Consider the following 19,954-nt stretch of genomic DNA (forward strand, 5'->3'; position numbering starts at 1 on the left):
TCATAGTGGGTTGAATAGTGGCTCCCTAAAATATATTTCCATATTCTAACCCCTGGCACATGTGACCATGACCTCATTTGGAAAAAGGGCCTTTGCAGATGTAATTAATTTATGGATCTTAAGATGAGATCATTCTGGATTACCTGAGTGGGCCCCAAATCCAATGACAGATGCCATAAGAGTGAGGCAGGCAGAGATTAGACAGAAGAGAACTCACAGAGACACACAGGGAGAAAGCAACATGAAGATGGAGGCAGAGATTGGAGTGATGTGTCTACAAGCCAAGAACACAAAGGATCACCAGCAGCCACCAGACGCTAGGAGACAGGTATGGAACTGATTCTGTCTCAGAGCCTCCCCAAGGAATCAACCCTGCTGACACCTTGATTTTGGACTTCCGACCTCTACAACTGGGAGAGAATAAATTTATGTTGTTTGAAGCCACCCAGTTTGTGGCCATTTGTTATGGAGGCCCCAGCAAACTAACACAGCAGGGAAAGGGGGCATAGGGAGGAAGGCTTGGGTTCTTCAGGAAAGCATCCGAGAGGACAAAGCAGCCTCTGCTCTTCAGGGCCCACGCAGCGCAGGGAGGGCTGGCTCCAGGGGACTGCAGGTCAGCATGGCCATAAGCAGGAAAGTCCTCCTCTCTCTCAGGTACTGCCGCCACCAGCAGGACACACGGCCTCTTACAGATTCTCTGCCCACAGCCATGGTCCTGTCCACCTCTCCAGCACCTTCCACACCTGACCCCCCTTATCCATGAGTTTCCCAAAGTAACTGGCACTATCCTTCTCCAGCAAGTTTCTTAGAGTCCATTATCACAGAGAGGCAGTGTAGTTCAGTGGAAATTGTTCTGGCTTTGGAGCCAAAGAGACATGGATTTTAATCCCAGGGTGACTTGGGATATGAGTGATTTGCCCTCAGTGAGCCTCAGTGTTCTCATCTGTAAAGTGGGGTAAATAATCGCTGCCTTGCAAGGTTATTGTGACAGTTAGAAATAGCATAGGCTGGGTGCAATGTCTCAAGCCTCTAATCCAAACACTTTGGAAGGCTGAAGTAGGAGGACTGATTCAGGCCAGGAGTTCAAGACCAGCCTAGGCAAGTAGCAAGACCCTGTCTCTACAAAATATTTATAAATTAGCCGGGCATGTTTGCTCATGCTTGTAGTCCTAGCCGCTTCAGAGGCTGAAGTGGGAAGATCGCTTGAGCCCAGGAGGTCAAGGCCACAATGAGCCATGACTATGCTACTGAGTTCTAGTCTGGGTGGCAGAGAAGAAAGAAAGGAGGAAAGAAAGAAGGGAAGGGGAAGGGGAAGGGGAAGGAAGGAAGGAGGGAAGGAAGGAAGGAAGGAAGGAAGGAAGGAAGGAAGGAAGGAAGGAAGGAAGGAAGGAAGGACGGACATGTAAAATGCCCAGCATATGGCCTGCATACAACAGGAGCACAATAAATGGCAGGAATTTTCATCACCATTATTTACATCATGACAAAGTTTTTCTAGAACACTGGCCTAAGCCCAACTTGTTCTCATTGCTGTTGTGGATACAAAGAGATCCACAATGTTGGGGCTGTCCTTGGGGGCTCTCACTCAGCAGGGAGTTCTAGGGACCTACTGTGTTCCCTTTTCTTACTTGCCTTCAAGTCTCTTCTTCTCCAGACACTGGCTGTGACCTCAGTCCCCTAGGTACCTTCAGTAGGCACCTAATACATATTTGTTTTGTGACTAATGAATACATGATGTTGAGTGAGTCACCTAACCTCTTGAAACATCAGTTCCCTCATCTATAAAATGCAGCTAATAGTGTCTATCTACCCTGCTGCCTCACAGGGCAGTTGTAAAGACCAAATAGACAACAGCCAAGGAAGGCATAGGAAGAGAGCAAAGCACCACACGAAGCCCCACCTGCACCTCAAAGGCTGTCCAACCCTCCACCGAGGTGGCTCTGCTGGGCCTAGGACAGTCACAGTCAGGTCTCAAGGTGCTTGCATCTCCCTGTGCCTAGAGAGCCGCATTCCAGGACACGGGCAGGTCCACACCTTAACAGGTGCAAACCTCCCTGCTTTCGCTGGTCTGGAGTCAGAAAGCCTTGACTCAACTATGATGCTGCCTCTTCCTAGCTGTGTCTCCAGGCCACTTAACATCTCCAAGCCTCGGTTTTCTCTTTTGTAAAAAATAGTCAATTATCCCTGCCTAACTAGAAATGTAGCCATGAGCATTGAAACAGACAATGCATGGCAATGTGCTTTGTCAACTGTACAGTTCTGTACAAATTCAGGTGATTATTACAATGATTCCCATTGTGTTGAAAAGCAGCCACACTGGCCTGAGCCTCAGAGGAATACAGACTCCCGGAGAAGGAGGAGAGGACAAACACCACTGCTCCTTGCAATTCCTGTAACTTTGAAACCTGCTCCATAAAATTGCAAAATCCTATATGCCTTTGCCAGGAGACCAAAAATATTCAAGGCACGACTCTAGAGAACCACAAGATGAGCCATTTCTATAATGGGTACTGCTGGGCTTCAATCAACTCAGCTGCCTGGCCCAAAAAAGTCATTTTTTAAAAACACCACACACCACAATTTGGCCTCTCCCCCAAAACATACATCCTTTCTCTTAAGAAATTAAGTGAAATCCAACTTTGATGAAACCCAACTCTGAGGCATTCATTCTCAGAGAGCAGGCCCCTGGTTCCCTGGTGAGGCGGGCAGACAAGCATTCTCAAATGACGGTTTGCAGGTAGACAGATCTCCAGTGGAGGTGGAAGAAATCAGCACTTGGCCAGTCCCAAGGGCTGTGAGGACAGGACCTGTGAGCCCAAGGAAGCAACTGCTGCCTCAGACTCAGAAATTAGCTCTACTAACCCAGCGAAAAAGCTAAACAGCCTTAAGACTCTTTTACTGGTTGTTTTAATCAACCAGGTACGAAGAAGGTGAGAGACCAACTCCTCTTCACCCACAGGCCTGGATGCCACAACCCCACACTCCAACTCCCTGCCCCGCAACAAATGGCCTCCCCCATCACATAGGCAGCCAGCAGATGAAAGTCCCTCCCAGACTGGAAATGGCCACCTGTCCCGTGGTTCTCTGGGTCCCACAACCCAGGCCACCTGGCCCCTCTAGGTTGCACCAGGCTGAGGAAGGCAGACACACCCAGTCCTGGATTCAGGGCTAACAAGGCCAGGATCCTACCTGTAGCTACTCGCCCAGCTTTTACACCTGGGGCTGCCTCTTACTCCAAAGGTCCTCAGTCCTGGATGGAGACGCATGTACCTTATTTGTTAGCTCAGGCTCCCTTTAGCAGTTTCTGTTTTCTGTTGCAAAACTCTGAACCCTCTGAGAGACACCCTAGCATGGTAGAAAGAGCAAATGCTTTGAGGCCAGGTTTGAGTCCAGGGCCTGCTGCTGACTGCCTCTGAGGATTTAGAGAAGTGACTTCTCCTGGCCTTGGTTTCCTCCTCCCTAAAAGGTGGCTAATGCCTGTCCAATAAGGCTTTGTAAGGTTATAACAATATGTGGATGGTGCCTGGTGTATGGTTGGTGCTTAACCAGTGGTAATTATTATTATAACGCCATTCTCACCCCCATCCCCACCCCAACATTCCAAATCCTGAAGTCTAGTCAATCCTCCAGAACTGATTGCTCCCACCTTCAGGTCACAAGCAACCATTTACCAGAGTGCCCTGTCTCAGACCTGCCCACCTCTGGGCCAAGCGGAGCTAGCTGCTGTGAATTACAGAATGCACTCAAAGCAGTTAAGTGTCTGTTTACACAGAAAAAAATTCTGAAATCTTATATGATTGCAATATTTTCCCACCACATCTGCTTTTATGGATATAAATCAGTGAACACACTTAGATCAGGATTTATTCGGAAGAGTAGCTTCTCTTACATGGACTTTTCTCTTTTGATAACTACGGTACTACCCAGTGTCCAGTAGGCAAAACACAAAGGTCTAAGGTACTTGCATGATTCTGAAAGTTCCTTCAGACTCTTCAGAAAGAATTATCTTATGTCTAATACATTGTCCTTTTCAGATTATAAAAGTAATATGTGCTCATTGTAGACCATGAGGAAAACAGAAAAAGTATATGAAAGTACAAATCTGTGGCAATTTCACTGTTTCTAGAGAATGCCACAGTGAATGCTTCGGTGTATTTCTTTCTAGCCTTTTTTTCCTACATGCCAGTGTGTATGTAAGTATCCATTCATTTTAAAGCGAACAAATGAATAAGCCAGCCAGACAGTGCAGACAGGAAAGCAGCTGTTAATTGCCCATGGAATGCTTCCTTGTCTTGTTTTCCATTCTCCCTGCCCCCAAACAACTTATTTATTAGTGACACACCTATGCGTTGTATAACTACATCTTATCAGAGGTTGGTGAACTTCTATCCTCTGAGTGAGTTGACATAGTCATCTCTGCTTTCCATTTTCATGCCACAGAGTCAATATTTACTAGCCATGTTGCTAAAAACAGGCACTGGTCACAGACTTGGTGCCAAACCACTGTGTCTAATCTCAGCAGAAGCAGTCTCAGTGGCACCCGCAGGCTTTACTGTGCCATAAGCCATGGCTCTAGATGAGTGATTCCTGCCCCAGCTGAGTAGACAGCCCATGGCCCAGTAAGAACACTTCACATAATCATGAAGTTGCAGGACACTAAGTGCCAGAAGGCACTTATATGCTAGAGATGGGGGAAAGGAAACTGAGGACTTGCCTAAGCACAGGCAGCTCCAGAGCCAAAGCCAGGACCCCTTTCTCTCCCACGCCAGCACACTCTTATTGCACTACCTTGTTGAATGCATCAACATGAAGAAACAGCTGAGAAGGCAGTGGGGGATAGAACCCATTTCATCAGGACTGGAAACTGGGCACTTGCTCTGAAATGGTCAATTTCACAGGGGTCTTCCCCAAGAGTGGCATGTTCTCTTGCAGTAATGATTAAGGTGATACCATGGCATCATCAATTCTCTTGCCTCTTGCTGTCATTTATTCATTCATATCACATATTTTTATTAAGCACCAGCTATGGAAAGGTATCGCTTGCTTCACCAAAGCAGCACTACTTTGCCCATCTCCTCTGGGAAGGATTTATAGTTGACAAAAGAGACACACCCATTTGATAGCGAAAAGAAATCTAGGCTTAAAGAAAAATATTTATAGAAAGGAAATGTAGGAGAATCATGGAATGACGTCAGGGTAGCCCCTTGACAGCAGGCCTCTAAAGAAAGTCCCTGTTCCCAAAAGCACCTCAGGTACTAGAAGGAATAAATCAAAAGGGAAAGGATAGGTAACTTGGTGTGATACCAAATGCCTACAGTGTTTCTATGGAGTAATGGAAAGGGCAAAGGACCTGGAGTGCAAAGACCCACATTCAGGTCTCACTTCTGCCACCAAAATGCCTTGTGACCCAGAGACAGAAAGTGCCTTGCCCAGGTGCATTAACGTATTGGTAGCCAAAGTGGGATATGAAGCAAGTTCTTTACTCCAAGTCCGTGGCGATGGGCCAGATGCCACAGATGAGTCTTTCTACCCCTCTTATCATTAGCCTTAAAGAAAGCCACAACCCTGATCTAGAACATCTATGGCAACAGAATTTCCCTTCATCTTTCCCCTCAGTAGAGATCAGACCCTACCCACAAGGGGAAGCCCTGGCATCTTCTCCTGGAAGTAGGCACTTCAGTGGGGTTCAGTCTCAGTCACTTTCGGGAGGAACAGGACAGCGGCCCCCAGGCTCACGTCAGCACAGGATGATACTGCGATGTGGGACGACTCTGGCACATGAAAGGGAGCGCGAGTGAGCATTCCGTACAGTTGCTGGGATGTCAAGCAGCTCTGCACACTTGGTCTGTTCCCCTGCCCCACCCCCTCCAGACAAGAAAACAAAGAAGCTCATGTGAACAGGGCCTTGATGAAATTGTTGCTGCTGAATTTCTACCTTCTCCTGGGCTTGTAAACACAAGCTCAGCGCCCTTGGGGCCTCAAAGCTGGCTAAGCACAGCTGATGGCTTTACCAGCCCCTGTGCTCGTTGAGTGCCTACTGTGGATCCAGCCATATGCTAGAGGTGGAAGGGACACAAAGAAGGATAAAATGTGGCCCCGTCTTCAATGGGCTCACAATCTGGCTTGAAATACAGAATGAATCCCCAGAGAACCTTCTACTTTGGAGTAATTGTGTAAGAGGCACAGATACTAAGGGCTATGGATGCTCAAAGCTGGAGGGATAGATGGGGCTGGAAGGAAGAACCCATGGGAAGGCCCCAGAGGGAGAGGAAGTATTTTCACTGGACTTGAGAGCTAAGTACAATTAGTTAAGTGGAAGACAAGAAGAGACAGGAAGGAGGAAAAGAACATCTTATAAAAAGGCTTGGACTAAGCAGCTAGAGAGGAGAAAGCTTGGAAGTATTGGGAGGTAAGTTTGGACAGCAGAGTGGGCAAAGCAATGAGACTAAGTTGGTCACATCACTCAGTTTAATCTGCCAGCCACTTTCCTGACTCTGTATCAGACACTGGATAGGGTGGAGATGGCCTAGACGTTGGTCTGGAAGCACTTACCTTGCAAAGAGGAAAGCAGGGTAACAAAAAGGGAAGGGAAACATATTAGAAACACAAACCACAGGCATAGAGTACAATTTTCCTAGGGTAACCATCCAAATGCTGGTTAGTATCAACAAGGGAGCTAATCTTGGCAATGCTACAGGTAGTGGCTACTGGGTGATCTCACAGAGACAAAAGGAAATGTACAACACTGTTATTACTAAAAGAGCACCTGCAATTATTAACATTTAAATAGTTTAGGTTATTTTCTCTGTTAACAGTCATTTTCTTCAAAGCATTAGGCAAAGGTTTCCTAGACTTTTTTCTGAGAAGAGCTTCCTAAAGAGAGCATTAGCCGGAATTAAGGCTTGAGCTAGGATACATACAAGTATTCTTCACTTCACCCAATAGACAAGTTCCCTTGTGCATGGTGACTACTTCCGTAAAGAACTGACCACTTAAAATGTTTAAATGATCCTAAAGAGTTCACAATCCCATGGGCATGGTGGCTCAAACCTGTAATCTCAGCACTTTGGGAGACTGAGGCGGGTGAACACTCGAGCCCGGAAGGTTAAGACCAGCCTAGGCAATATGGTGAGATGCCGTCTCTACAAAAAAATAACAAAAAATTAGCTGGGTGTGGTCATGTGCATCTATAGTTCCAGCTACTCAGGAGGCTGAAGGGGGAAGATCTCTTGCGCCCAGGAGGCAGAGGTTGCAGTGAGCCAAGATCACATCACTGCACTCCAGCCTGGGTGACAGAGTGAGACCAAGTGAAGAATACTTGTGTGTGTGTATTCTAGCTCAAGCCCTAAAAGAGCGCACAGTCCCTCAAAGGGGGTTAGACAGATGATATCTTGGGGCCCTTCCAGTCTAAATTCTAAGATAGCATGATGAGAAATGACTCTTTCCAAACTCCCTTAGGGTATCTCTGCCAGAAATTTTCTGGCAAAAGTGCTAGGAGACTCACTGTAGGTACCAGTATACAATCCTCACCATCTCTTTACCTTCTCTTTTAGTTGCTGCCATCTTAACTTACTCATCCTTCATTCAGCAAGGGTTTACAGAGTCTCTTCTCTTTGTCAAGGGGCGATGTGGAGGAGGGTGGAAGCTGACTCTAAGGCAAAGAGTGACAGCAGGGATATCCACAACATGCTGTGGGAACACAGAACAGGCTCGCCCAACCCTGCCTGCAGTAGTCAGGGCAGGCTTCTGGGAGGAAGCAGAACTTGAGTAGGGCTCAATGCATGGGTGAGACCTAGATGAGCATAGGACTCTAAGGAAAAGGTGGCCACTGAAAGGATACACCTATTAGTGGGAAGTAAACCTAGAAGCCATAAAGGAATTGGCTTGTGGAGTCACTGTTGGGTGTGGTACACACACACGGTGGGGGAAGGGCAGATCCCAGCAGGAGTCTAACATGAGCAAAGGCAAAGAGAGAGAATTAACAGAGCTGGGACAGAGGATAATAAACCAACTCACTCAATCAAGGGAGGAAAGGAATAAACTAACAGCTCTGAGAGCCTCTGATGTGTCTCAAGTACCATTTTGAAGAACTGATGGTGGATCCAGTTGCACATTCTGCTCAAACTGGGGCATATAAAAAATACTGATGCCAGGGCCTCACTGCAACTCCTCCCTGTGAACTCTTCAAATCAACTGATGACCACTGGGCCTTTAAGGAAATGATGTTGCTATCTACGGCCATTTGCTGGACACTTCCCACGTGCCACGCTATGTCCCTTACATCTGTGGCAGGAATGGAAAAGGTGCTATTTTAAAAAGCTGCTCAAAGCCGTTACCATCTGCTACAGGAGGCGGAAGACTGCATCGTGCGGGGGTCAGAGATGGCTTTTTGTTTAAGAAAAACTTTAAAGGACCTTTGGTTCTGCAAAAGAGAGGCCTGGGGTCCAATCAGGGAGGTGCTGCAACAAGGAGTTTAACTGCCTATCTGAAAGAAAAGGGGAGTCTACCTTGCGCGGTTAAGTAAAAAGAATGGTAGCAGATTTGGGGCCTAGGCTGGGGTCCTGGAAGACCCTGGTATCATGGCAGAGGTCAGAAGTCAAAGAAGCAGAGGTTTTGTTACCCAACTTTAAGCCATTTCCTTCTCTGTGCAGCAATTCCTCTCATCAACCCCAAGCCTTAGGTGAAAATCAATTCATCCTTCAACCAGTCTCAGTGGCAAGGGAGGGACTCAGAAATGGGCCAGGGTCCTTGCCTGAGACTTCAAGATCACAGAGGAGGTGCAGCCTTGTCTCGAAGGAGGAAAGTGATCCTCGAGTTGCAAGGGCCTAGGGCATGGAGGAAGATGTGAGCATGCCCTGGGGAGGCTCAGAAAGCCTGGGTTGGGGAACAGGACTTCCTGTTGCCTGGAATGGAATGCTTATTCTTATTCGGACATTAAAGGACAGAGACCCCAGAAAGCTGGAAAAGTGGAGACTCAGATTCCACATGTGGTATTTCAACAACCCCATGAGATAGCAACCATCTTACGATGAAGAAACAGAGCCTATGAGTGCAAAGCACCAAGGAGCTCACAGTGGCAGAGCCAGGATCAGACTTGGACCTGGTGATTCCAGTGCCCAGAACAGTCACTGCCAGGCTGTCCCGCCCTGAGCCTATCCTTCTGCCTGGGTCTCTCCACTGCCCTTCTCCCCTCTGCCCAGTCCATCTTGTCTCTTAGCCTGCAAAACATAGACAGGGAGGAATGCTTCACCAACTAGAGCCACACCACAGCCCTGAGCAGTCAAGTTCAACTAGTGGGGCCTGCCCCCAGGGTGCTAAATAAACCTCACCCCAATGAGGGAAGGATATTTCATCACCCTTCAAGCCCTGTGGCCAGGCCACCAGGGGCCAGTGTTTCAGGATTCAAGATCAGGGTCCTAAGGCCTCAGGGTTAGAAGCTGCCAGCAAGGAGGTGGAGGTGAGCAGGGAGGCAGTGCCAGCCCTGGAAATGGATTAGACACAGGACAACTGGACTCTCAGCAGGCTCCCCAGTAAACCACCAAGAGACCCAGACACTATTAACAACCACCTTCCCTGTTCTCTGGAGGGGATCCCAGGGTCACAGACAGAAAGAAAATTCTAGGCAACTTGGTACTTCAAAGAGAGCACTGGACCAGGATTCAGAAGTCATAGGTTTAAATCCCAGCTCAGACACTTACCAAGGTAAGTTAGTTCAATCTCTAAGATTCAGCTTCCTCATCTGTAAAAAGGGAAAAATACCTATAATCTCATAGGACTGCAAGAGGATGAAGCCAGGTAACAGACCTCAGAGCTTAGTGCAGGGCCAGGTATCGAGGAGACACTCGATCCCCAACATCCAGAGCGCCCTTCCCTTCTTCCTACCCCAGCCACACTCCAAAGAGGGCAGGATTGACCTAGGTGGACAGTGCTTCTGGGCTTCCCAGGGCTCTGAGTCCCTGGAAGGATGTCAGGGCAAGGGGCAGCTGGCCTCTGCTCACCGCTGCATCCTCCTTTCCCAACACTGCACCTTCACTTTCATCTTCACCCCAATTCCATCATAAATTACTTTTACAGTTTTGCTGTAAACCCTACTGGAGTAGATCAGGAGTAGCCCACCTTTTCTACAAAGGACCAGATGGTAAATATTTGAGGTATTGCAAGCCAAGAAGCAAAATGTAGGATATTATGTAGGCACCTATATAACAAAGGAGAAAATCGAATTTCCACAAGTTTTAAAGTTTTTAAATAATTAATTAATGAAATTCAAAATATAATAATAATTGAGTTTTATTTTGTTTTTATAATACAGCTGTTCCAATGAAAAGAATGGAAATATGGATATTGCGGGGGATGGATAACATTTTGCTTAATTGGGGTCTAAAGTTAGCGTTCTCTATCATCAAATTGATTGGAAACATTCCTCTGTAAAAGCCAATCTTAGCTCCAGGGCCACTCACACACAGGGCGCAGGCCAGATTTTGGCTGTAGGGCTATAGTTTTCTGTGCCCCACACTCAACAATGTAGGAGCCCTCGCAGGTGAAAGTTCCTGGTTCTAGACCCTGTGGACGGCTGACTGGGGGTGAGGGGCAATCTTGAGAAGAGAGGCTGGCGGCTGAGCCATCCCCTCTGTGGAAGGCCCTGGAAGCTGCCGGGGTCTCACATGACCTCCCACCTGCCCTACCAGAGCCCTGGGGTGCTTTGCTACAGCTGAGGTGATAGGGTAACTCTTTTTTTTTAATTAATTAATTTTTTTTAAGGCAGTCTCTCATTCTGTTGCCCAGGCTGGAGTGCAGTGGCATGAACTCTGTTCACTACAACATCTGCCTTCCGGGCTCAAGCAATCCTCCCACCTCAGCCCCCCAGGTAGCTAGGACTACAGGCGCATGCCACCACACCAGGCTAATTTTTGTATTTTTTGTAGAGTCAGGGTTTCGCCATGTTGGCTAGGCTGGTCTCAAACTCCTGGGCTCAAGCTATCTACCCACCTCCACCTCCCAAAGTGCTGGGATTACAGGAGTGAGCCACAGCACCCAGCCTGATAGGGTACCTCTTAAGCCTCACTTTGGTTTCCCCAGCAAGGTGGAGGACAGAAGCTCTCCCTTTTGCCCTCTCAAAAGCACTCCCCATCCCAAGTACCTGCTTCGCCAAATGGTACGCTCTCAGAAAACTTCCTGAGAAAATCCTGTGAGCCAGCTTCTAAAAGCAGAGACAAAGGAGCAGACCCCTTGGCAGGAGTTCCAGGTCCCTTAAGGACATGTATACTCTATTTCTCAGAGAAGGAAAGTGAAACCATCAGTCTATAGGGAAGAGCTCTGCATTTAGTCCCAACTGGCCTGGGTCGGGTAGAGTCTCTGAGCCTCCTTTTCATCACTTACAAAATGGGAACTATTATGTTGGCCTTACCTACCTTGTGTTGCTATTGGAACTTCAAAATATCCATGAAAATATAATGATGACTTACATAGTGGCTCACCGCCTGTAATCCCAGCACTTTGGGAGACCAAGGCAGGCAGATCACTTGAGCCCAGGAGTTCAAGACCAGCCTGGACAACATGACAAAACCCTGTCTCTATAAAAAATATAAAACATGAGGCCAGGTGCGGTGTGGCTCATGCCTATAATCCCAGCACTTTGGGAGGCCAAGGCAGGTGGGTCATCTGAGGTCAGGAATTCGAGACCAGCCAGCCAACATGGTGAAACCCTGTCTCTACTAAAAATACAAAAAAACTAACCAGGCGTAGTGGTGTGTGCCTGTAATCTCAGCTACTCGGGAGGCTGAGACGGGAGAATCACTTGAACCTGGGAGGTGGAGGTTGCAGTGAGCTGAGATCATGCCACTGCACTCCAGACTGGGCAACAGAGTGAGACTCTGTCTCAAAACAAAAAAACAAAACAAAAAAAAAACCCCAAAATTAGCCAGGTATGGTGGCACATAGTCCCAGCTCAAGAGGCTGAGGTGGGAGGATTGCCTGAACCCAAGGAGGTCAGAAGCTGCACTGAGCCATGATCACGCCACTGCCCTCCAGCCTGGGTGACAGAGCAAGACCCTGTCTCAAAAAAAGAAAAGAAAAGATAAAAATGAAATGCAAACACCACGAAGAAAAGTAAAGTGCAGGAGAGAATAAGGTTTGAAATTAAGGGGAAAGTACAGAAAACTTGAACTACTTTAAATTTCCCCACAGTGAAAATGTTAATGTATCTTTACAAAATTCATAAACTAACAAAAATACACAAAAACAATAAAAGAGTATTGGCAAAGCCACAAGGAAATAAGTACATGCTGATGACACTGTAAAGTGATTCACTATTTCCAGTTTAAACCATTAAGCAAATCAGTCATAACCTTTGACCTGGTATGCAACCTCTGGGAATACACCCAACCAAAATAATGCAGAGAGGAAATTAAACAAATATGTTCACCGAAACACCAATATTTTTAGCAGTGAGAAACAACAGGGGAAAGTTACCTGAATTGGGCATGCCTGGATAGAATATTATGAAGTTAGCAGAAGTACATAAACTGTATCTATCTATCTATCTATCTATCTATCTATCTATTTATATTTTTTGAGATGGAGTCTCACTGTGTTGCCCAGGCTGGAGTGCAGTGGCGCTATCTCAGCTCACTGCAACCTCCACCTCTGCGGTTCAAGTGATTCTCTGGCCTCAGCCTCCCAGGTTGCTGGGACTACAGGTGTGCGCCACCACACCTGGCTAATTTTTGTATTTTTAGTAGAGATGGGGTTTCGCCATGTTGGCCATACTTGTCTTGAACTCCTGACCTCAAGTGATCTGCCTGCCTTAGCCTCCCAAAGTGCTGGGATTTCAGGCATGAACCACTGCACCCGACCCTATTTATTTTTTAATTGTCCAGTAATCTTCAAAAATGTTAGTGTCATGAAAGTCAAAGAAAGACTGTTCCCAGTTAAAGGAGACTGGAGAGACATAACCACAAGATGCAACACATGATCCTGCCCTGTGTCTTTCACTGTAGGGAGAAAAACTGCTATAAAGAACACTAATAAGAAAATTGACAAAATTAGAGCAAGAGTGATAGCTTAGGTAAAAATATTATATTGGTATTAAATGTCCTGAATTTGTAACTGTATAGCAGTTATGAAAGAGAACGTCCATGTACTTAATACTTCACTAGGAAATCCATAGTGAAGTATTAAGGGGTGAAGAGGCATAATGTCTGCAACCTATTCTCAAATGGTTCAGAAACTAGGATGGATGGATACGTAGGTAGGCAGGTAGACAGACAGACAGACAGACAGATAACCCACAGACGGAAAGAAGGAAGGAGGAAAGGAGGCAGGTAGAGAAGGGGAAAGAGAGAGAGAGAAATGACAAAATGTTATAAACTGGTATACATAGGTCAAGGGTATATGGGACTTTTGTTATTCTTACAACTTTTTTTTATCACATTTCAAATTATTTCAAAACAAAAATATTTTTAAGTATATGAACTCTGGATATGTGGAAAGGTACATATTTAAAAACAACATGGAGTCAAAAAACAACAATCCAACACAAAATGTACACACTGGCAATAAATAAGTAGAAAAGCAAGGATATCCAGAAGATACAGGCCCATGGTGGTTTCCATTTCCCCCACATAAGTACTGCCCCCCGCCCCCAGCTCTTACAGTTTCCATAATGCAGACAGAGCTCAATGAGACCTACCCTTAGGGCAAGCGATTTGCACTGTGTGCTGAGCTTCTAACTCAAGCGTGTGCAATGCGGCCACTTTGTCTGAGTGGCTTTGTGCTTTGTTTTCCTAACAATGGGTGATGAAAGTGCCTCCCTCTCTCATCCACAGCCTCTGCCACCCAGGGCCCCTTGTAGTCATCAGTCCTCCTGGCAGCCCCATCCCTTCACCTTCTCCACATGCCCTCTTGCCCAAGCCTGGGCCTCTGCTCCTTGGTCGTGGCAGAGCCCTCACCCTTGAGGTAGTTACCGGCCTATCTCCTGGATTAGACCCTGCCGCGCCCAGGGTGATAGCTTCCTCCTCCGATCTCCTGGAATGTGTTTTTGGGTCCCACTATTAGCACATAGTCTAGGTACATCTCATTTCATTTGCTAAGGAGGAGAGTACTCCTGTGCCCCATCTGAGCCTTAGCTCTTCTGGGGCAAGGTCTAAGCCCTAAGTCTCCTCCCCAACACACAGTGGGTGCCCAAGAATATTTATTGTTAACTGTGATAGTGACCTACATACAGTACAGACATGCACATACTCATAAGCTCCTTCACACACACACATCCACACACACCCACTTACCTTTTAGAAACCACCAGCTTGTCTAGGGTGCTGCTGTGGTGGAGGAGGCTTTCTTGCTTTTAACCAAGTTCATTTTGCTCTCAGTCTACAGCCTGAGTTACAAGAGACCACTGTACTATACCGTTTTGCATCCGGCCAGCTCACAGTTCCCTACCCCCCTCAGGAGGACTGGTGTAGGGAGCCCCTCTCTGACACCCCTCTCTCTAAAGTCTGCTGTATGGCTGCACGCAATGGCTCACGCCTGCAATCCCAGCACTTTGGGAGGCCGAGGAGGGCAGATCACATGAGGTCAGGAGTTGGAAACCAGCCTGGCCAACATGGTGGAACCCGGTCTCTATTAAAAAATACAAATATTAGCTGTGAGTGGCGGGTGCCTATAGCCCCAGCTACTGGGGAGGCTGAGGCAGGAGAATCGCTTGAACCCAGGAGGCAGAGGTTGCAGTGAGTCGAGATGACGCCACTGCACTCCAGCCTGGGCAACAGAGCAAAAATCCATCTCAAAAACCAAAAACCAAAAACCAAAGTCTGTTGTGGTGTTGACAAGATCAAAGATGATGTAAATATGATACCCTTGCACCTAGATGTTGACAGGGCTGCTGGCTCCCCTCACCTGCCTCTCCTGTTTGTGGCCACTCTCCAACCCTGAACTGGGCCATAGTCCTGTGGCTACAAGTCTCATGGGTTTAAGAACCTCATCAAGGCTGCAGGATGGAATCCCACCAAGGGAATTTGGTGGCCTGGTATGGTCCTCACTGCTGCCCTATGCAGAGAATGGATATATCTGCCCTGTCTCCCTTCCTCCCCTTCCAGCCCCTTTTACTGACAAACTCTTTGATCCCCTACCCCTACTCGCCCTCAACCACCCTGAGCCCTGGGCCTTTACTAGAATAGATGACCTCTGAAGAATCTCCTGGATTGATTTTTATTAAATTATAGAATTAGGCTGAGGCGAAAAGAGCGCTTGAGGCCAGGAGGTCAAGATCAGCCTGGGCAATACAGTAAGACACCCGTCTCTACAAAAAATTTTAAAATTATCAAAGTCTAGGGCACATGCCTATAGCCCTAGCTACTCAGGAAGCTGAGGCGGGAGGATGCTGGAGCCGGGGAGCTTGAAGCTGCAGTGAGCTGTGGTTGCGCCATTGCATTCCAGCCTGGGCAACAGAGCAAGACCCTGTCTCAAAATACACACATACACACACACACACACACACACACACACACACACACGGAATTTGCATAGTATAATAGAAACAGTATGAGCTTTGTAATCTGACAGAGCTAGGATGGAATCCTGACTGCCTTGTTTAAAGTGTGTGACCATGAATACTTTATTTAACTTCTCTGAGCCTCATTGTCCTCACCTGGGAAATGGGAATGTGATCCAAGTCCAATTGTTCTGAAAGGGCAGGAAGTACTCAGCACAGATACTCACAGGAGGGCAGATTTTCTTTTTTTTTTTTTTGAGACAGGGTCTTGCTCTGTCGCCCAGGCAGGAGTGTAGTGGTGCAATCACAGCTCACTGCAGCTTCAACTTCCCATGCTCAAGCAATCCTCCCATCTCATCCTCCCAAGTAGCTGGGACTACAGGCGTGTGCCACCACACTTGGCTAATTCTTCATGTTTTGTAGAGACAGAGTTTCACATATGTTGCCCTGACTGGTCTCAAACTCCTGGGCTCAAGCAATCCTCCCACCTCGTCCTCCCAAAGTGTTGGGATTACAAGCGTCAGCCACCATGCCTGCCCCAACAGTAGATTCTTAACATATGTCAATCGTTTTCACTTTCCCAGCAGCAAGAAATACAAGCAAGCATGTGTATGATCAGAGAGGCACAAAAATCCCAGGCCAGGGTAGTGAAGAGGGCTTTGCCCAGAGGAAGTTTCTGGCTTTTATTTCCGACATTCTTTGAGATTTTCTGTGTCACACAGAGTAGAATTTCCCACTTGGCATCTCCTTGATAAGGTAGGTTTGTATTTCTTGAACCAGTTACCTAAAATTTTCGAGACTGAGTTTTTTCATCTATAAAATGGGAACAACTACTTCACAGGGTGTTATGAGAATTAAACTCAATAATGTATGTCCGGTAAATGGAAGTAATTTTTGTGTTTTGTTTCCCACTTTGTGTTTGGGGAATCCTGGACATTCATGAATTCCAGGGCTTATGGGGGCTGTGAGCTTGCTTGGCTGAGGTATTCTGCCTTAGGTTTAAATTTAACTCAAGGCAGATCCCAGATGCTCTGCAGTTAACTTATGAGTATCTGTAGGTGTTAAGCACTTATCAAGTATAAAAGGCCTGGGCTGGACACCACAGTAGAGGAGACGGACAGATAAAAGCTGATGTACACAGGAGCCCAGCCTGGAAACCTTCAGTCCAGCAGGGAGGACGACCGGGAAAACCCTATGTGTAACATGAGGTATGATCAGAGACGTGGTCCAGAATAAGAGGGAATTAAATCTGACAGAAGGGAGTGGGGTGGATGGGGCAGGGCATGGCAGGTTTTGTCAGAGTCACCGTGTTTGATCTGGACCTTGAAGAAAAAGCATAATTTTTCCAAGAGTGAGGAAACAGCAAGAGCAAAGATAAGTCATATACGTTTTGTGGGCCTCTGGCCTCTGTCTCAGTGCTGCAGTGATATTCCAAATAGGAGAACAGCTCTGAACCTGCTTTCAAAGAGTTGATAAACAAGTGCCAGATAAGCCTCATCTCATACGGCCATTAGTGCTGCTCGCCCCAGCCTCTCCAACCTGCCCCTGCTTAGCACTTGGGGGAATGTGAACTACATGCAAGTACGTGTGCCACAGTAGTTGCAAAGAGCAGGAAGTCTGTGGGTATGAAAAATACCCCTGCAAAGATTAGTAGGCAAGATTCAGAAATAAAAATAGCCAGGCGTGGTGGTTTACACCTATAATCCCAGCACTTTGGGAGGCCAAAACAGGAGGATTGCTTGAACCCAGGAGTTCAAGACCAGCCTGGGTAACATGGCGAAACCCTGTCCCTACAAAAAATTTAAAAATTAGGTGGGCGTGGTGGTTCATGACTGTAATCCCAGCATTTTGGAAGGCTGAGGTGGGTGGATCACCTGAGGTCAGGAGTTCAAGACCAGCCTGGCCAACATAGTGAAACCCCATCTCTACTAAAAATAAAAAAAGTAGCCGGGCATGATCGTGCACACCTGTAATCCCAGCTACTTGGGAGGCTGAGGCACGAGAATTGCTTGAACCCAGGAGGTGGAGGTTGCAGTGAGCCAAGATAGCACCACTGCACTCCAGCCTGGGTGACAGAGCGAGACTCCATCTCAAAAATAAATAAGTAAATAAATAAATTAGCTGGGCATGGTGGCACATGCCTGTGGTTCCAGCTACTTGGAAGGCTGAGGTGGGACGATTGCTTGAGCCCAGGAGGTCGAGGCTGCAATGAGCCATGACTGAACCACTGCACTCCAGCCTGAGTAACAGAGAGACCCCTGGGGAGGGGGAGGGGGAGGGGGAAGGGGGAAGGGGGAAGGAAGGAAGGAAGGAAGGAAGGAAGGAAGGAAGGAAAAAAAAAATAGCTGCTGGGTTAACTCCTGACCTGGTGATCCACCCGCCTCGGCCTCCGAAAGTGCTGGGATTACAGGCATGATCCACGGCACCTGGCCTTAAATTTATTAATTTAAAAAACCATTGACCCAAAATAAGTCTCACAGATCTACCTGCACTGCTATAAAAAGATACTCAACAGATTTCGTTAAGTGAGAAAAGCAAGTTGTTGACTGTTATGGTCGTGTGGTCCCCTCTGTCCACACACACACTTGCTTAACTTAAAAAGGTTCTGAATGGTGACAGAAGAAAATGACCATCGCTGGGCACAGTGGCTCACGCCTGTAATCCCAACACTTTGGGAGGCCGAGGCGGGTGGATCACGAGGTCAGGAGATGGAGACCATCCTGGCTAACACGGTGAAACCCCGTCTCTACTAAAAATATAAAAAATTAGGTGGGTGTGGTGGCGGGCGCTTATAGTCCCAGCTACTCTGGAGGCTGAGGCAGAAGAATGGTGTGAACCGTGAACCCGGGAGGCAGAGCTTGCAGTGAGCCGAGATGGCGCCACTGCACTCCAGCCTGGGCGACAGAGTGAGACTCTGTCTCAAAAAAAAAAAAAAGGAGAGAAAATGACCATCAAAGTCTACCTGTGGGGTGTGAGACTCAGCGAGAGGGCAGAGGGAGTTCTACTTTTTACTTTATACTCTTCATAACTTTATGACATTCACCTCGAATAACTTCTATAATAAACAAACATCTTTTTAATTTAAAAGGATCATAAAAGCCCCCTTGCTTCAGGGTTAGTCTTAGGAGCTCTTTTGCCAAGGGCTGAGATGAGTAAATCGAACACCTATGTTTGTTGTTTTCTATAGTGCCCAGTGTGGCTAGACTGGGCTATTGAACCAGCCTGGGTAAATTTAAACTTCACACATTTCCTAGAGGATGTTGTTTCTTTCCCCAAAGAAGGTGTCCTGGCTAAGCTGAATGTGCGGTGGCTGATCCTAACCACAGATGATCCCATTGGGAGACTCCAGTCTGTCTACCCCCTGCCCCCATCAACATGGCTGCCCCAGGGAATCTTTGTCCACATTCAGGCAGGCTGAGGGTTTAGTGCAGAGGCTCCTTCCCCCGCCGAAGTCTCTCATCCCCAGGCAAGGAGACTGCAGGTTGGGTGTCTGGCAGGGTGTCTTGCATACATGAGCCTCCTCTAAGTGGTAGCAATTATATGGTTGCTGTCTTCTTCAGGGCAGAGGTGATATGTGGAGTAATGGTAAGGTAAGATCCTTAAGAGAAGTGGGGGCTATGGATAAAGGTTGGATGTAGATTTAAATAAGTTCTTATCTGTTTGTTCGTTTGTTTGTTTAAACCAGCACGGTAGTCGGTAGTCGAGAAGTTTCTGCCTTTGAGTTCCACTTCCTCCAATGCTTGTTTATGACCTTAAACAAATCACCTCCCCTCTCTGGGCCTCACTTTCCTCATCTATAAAATGGTAGATTTGGATTAAATTTTTGTTGAAATCCAGCTCAACAGAAACATCTTATGATTTTATGTTAATATAATATAAGTAAAGAAAATCTGGTCAGGTGTGATGGCTCACTCCTGTAATCCCAGCACTTCGGGAGGCCGAGGCAGGCAGATAACCTAAGGTCAGGAGTTTGAGATGAACCTGGCCAACATGGTGAAACCCCATCTCTACTAAAAGTACAAAAATTAGCCAGGCATGGTGGCGTGTGCCTGTAATCCTAGCTACTCGGGAGGCTGAGGCAGGAGAATCGCTTGAACCCGGTAGGCAGAGGTTGCAGTGAGCTGAGATCATGCAACTGCACTCCAGCCTGGGCGACAGAATGAGGCTCCATCTCAAAAAAAAAAAAATCATCTAAGTAAAGGAAAGTAATCAAAGGATAGGAAACAAGGAATCACTCTTCATTATATGCTGCTTACGTTAAATTACTTTATAACATTGTGCATGCAGTAGTTGTCTATGTGGAAGTTCACAAAACCATCACTGGGCCTATCTACTAGCACCCTCCTCCTGGGAAACATCACTCCTTCCCAAAGGCTCATCCTTCTAACTTTGACCATGCTACACTACCCTCGAGTACAAACAGAAAAGACTTCCTTCCCTTATATTCTTTCCCACTCCTCAGAAGCA

At 47.0% G+C, this 19,954-nt stretch overlaps 1 protein-coding gene across 24 annotated transcripts in view, besides 1 other annotated feature; it reads right to left on the reverse strand.

Annotated features, from left to right (window-relative positions):
- Positions 1-19,954, reverse strand: part of DAPK2 (death associated protein kinase 2) — a 139,450-nt gene that overhangs the window by 108,471 nt on the left and 11,025 nt on the right. The gene's annotated exons all lie outside the window — the stretch shown is intronic.
- Positions 10,626-10,791: a silencer, noted in NCBI's record as "fragment chr15:64318331-64318496 (GRCh37/hg19 assembly coordinates)". NCBI's record gives its function as "represses an EF-1alpha promoter that drives an FKBP-Casp9 reporter gene in an ReSE screen in K562 erythroleukemia cells {active_cell/tissue: K562}" and the evidence as "EXISTENCE:reporter gene assay evidence [ECO:0000049][PMID:32094911]".

This window comes from Homo sapiens, chromosome 15, assembly GCF_000001405.40.
Source record: "Homo sapiens chromosome 15, GRCh38.p14 Primary Assembly".
Taxonomy (NCBI): Eukaryota; Metazoa; Chordata; class Mammalia; order Primates; family Hominidae; genus Homo; species Homo sapiens.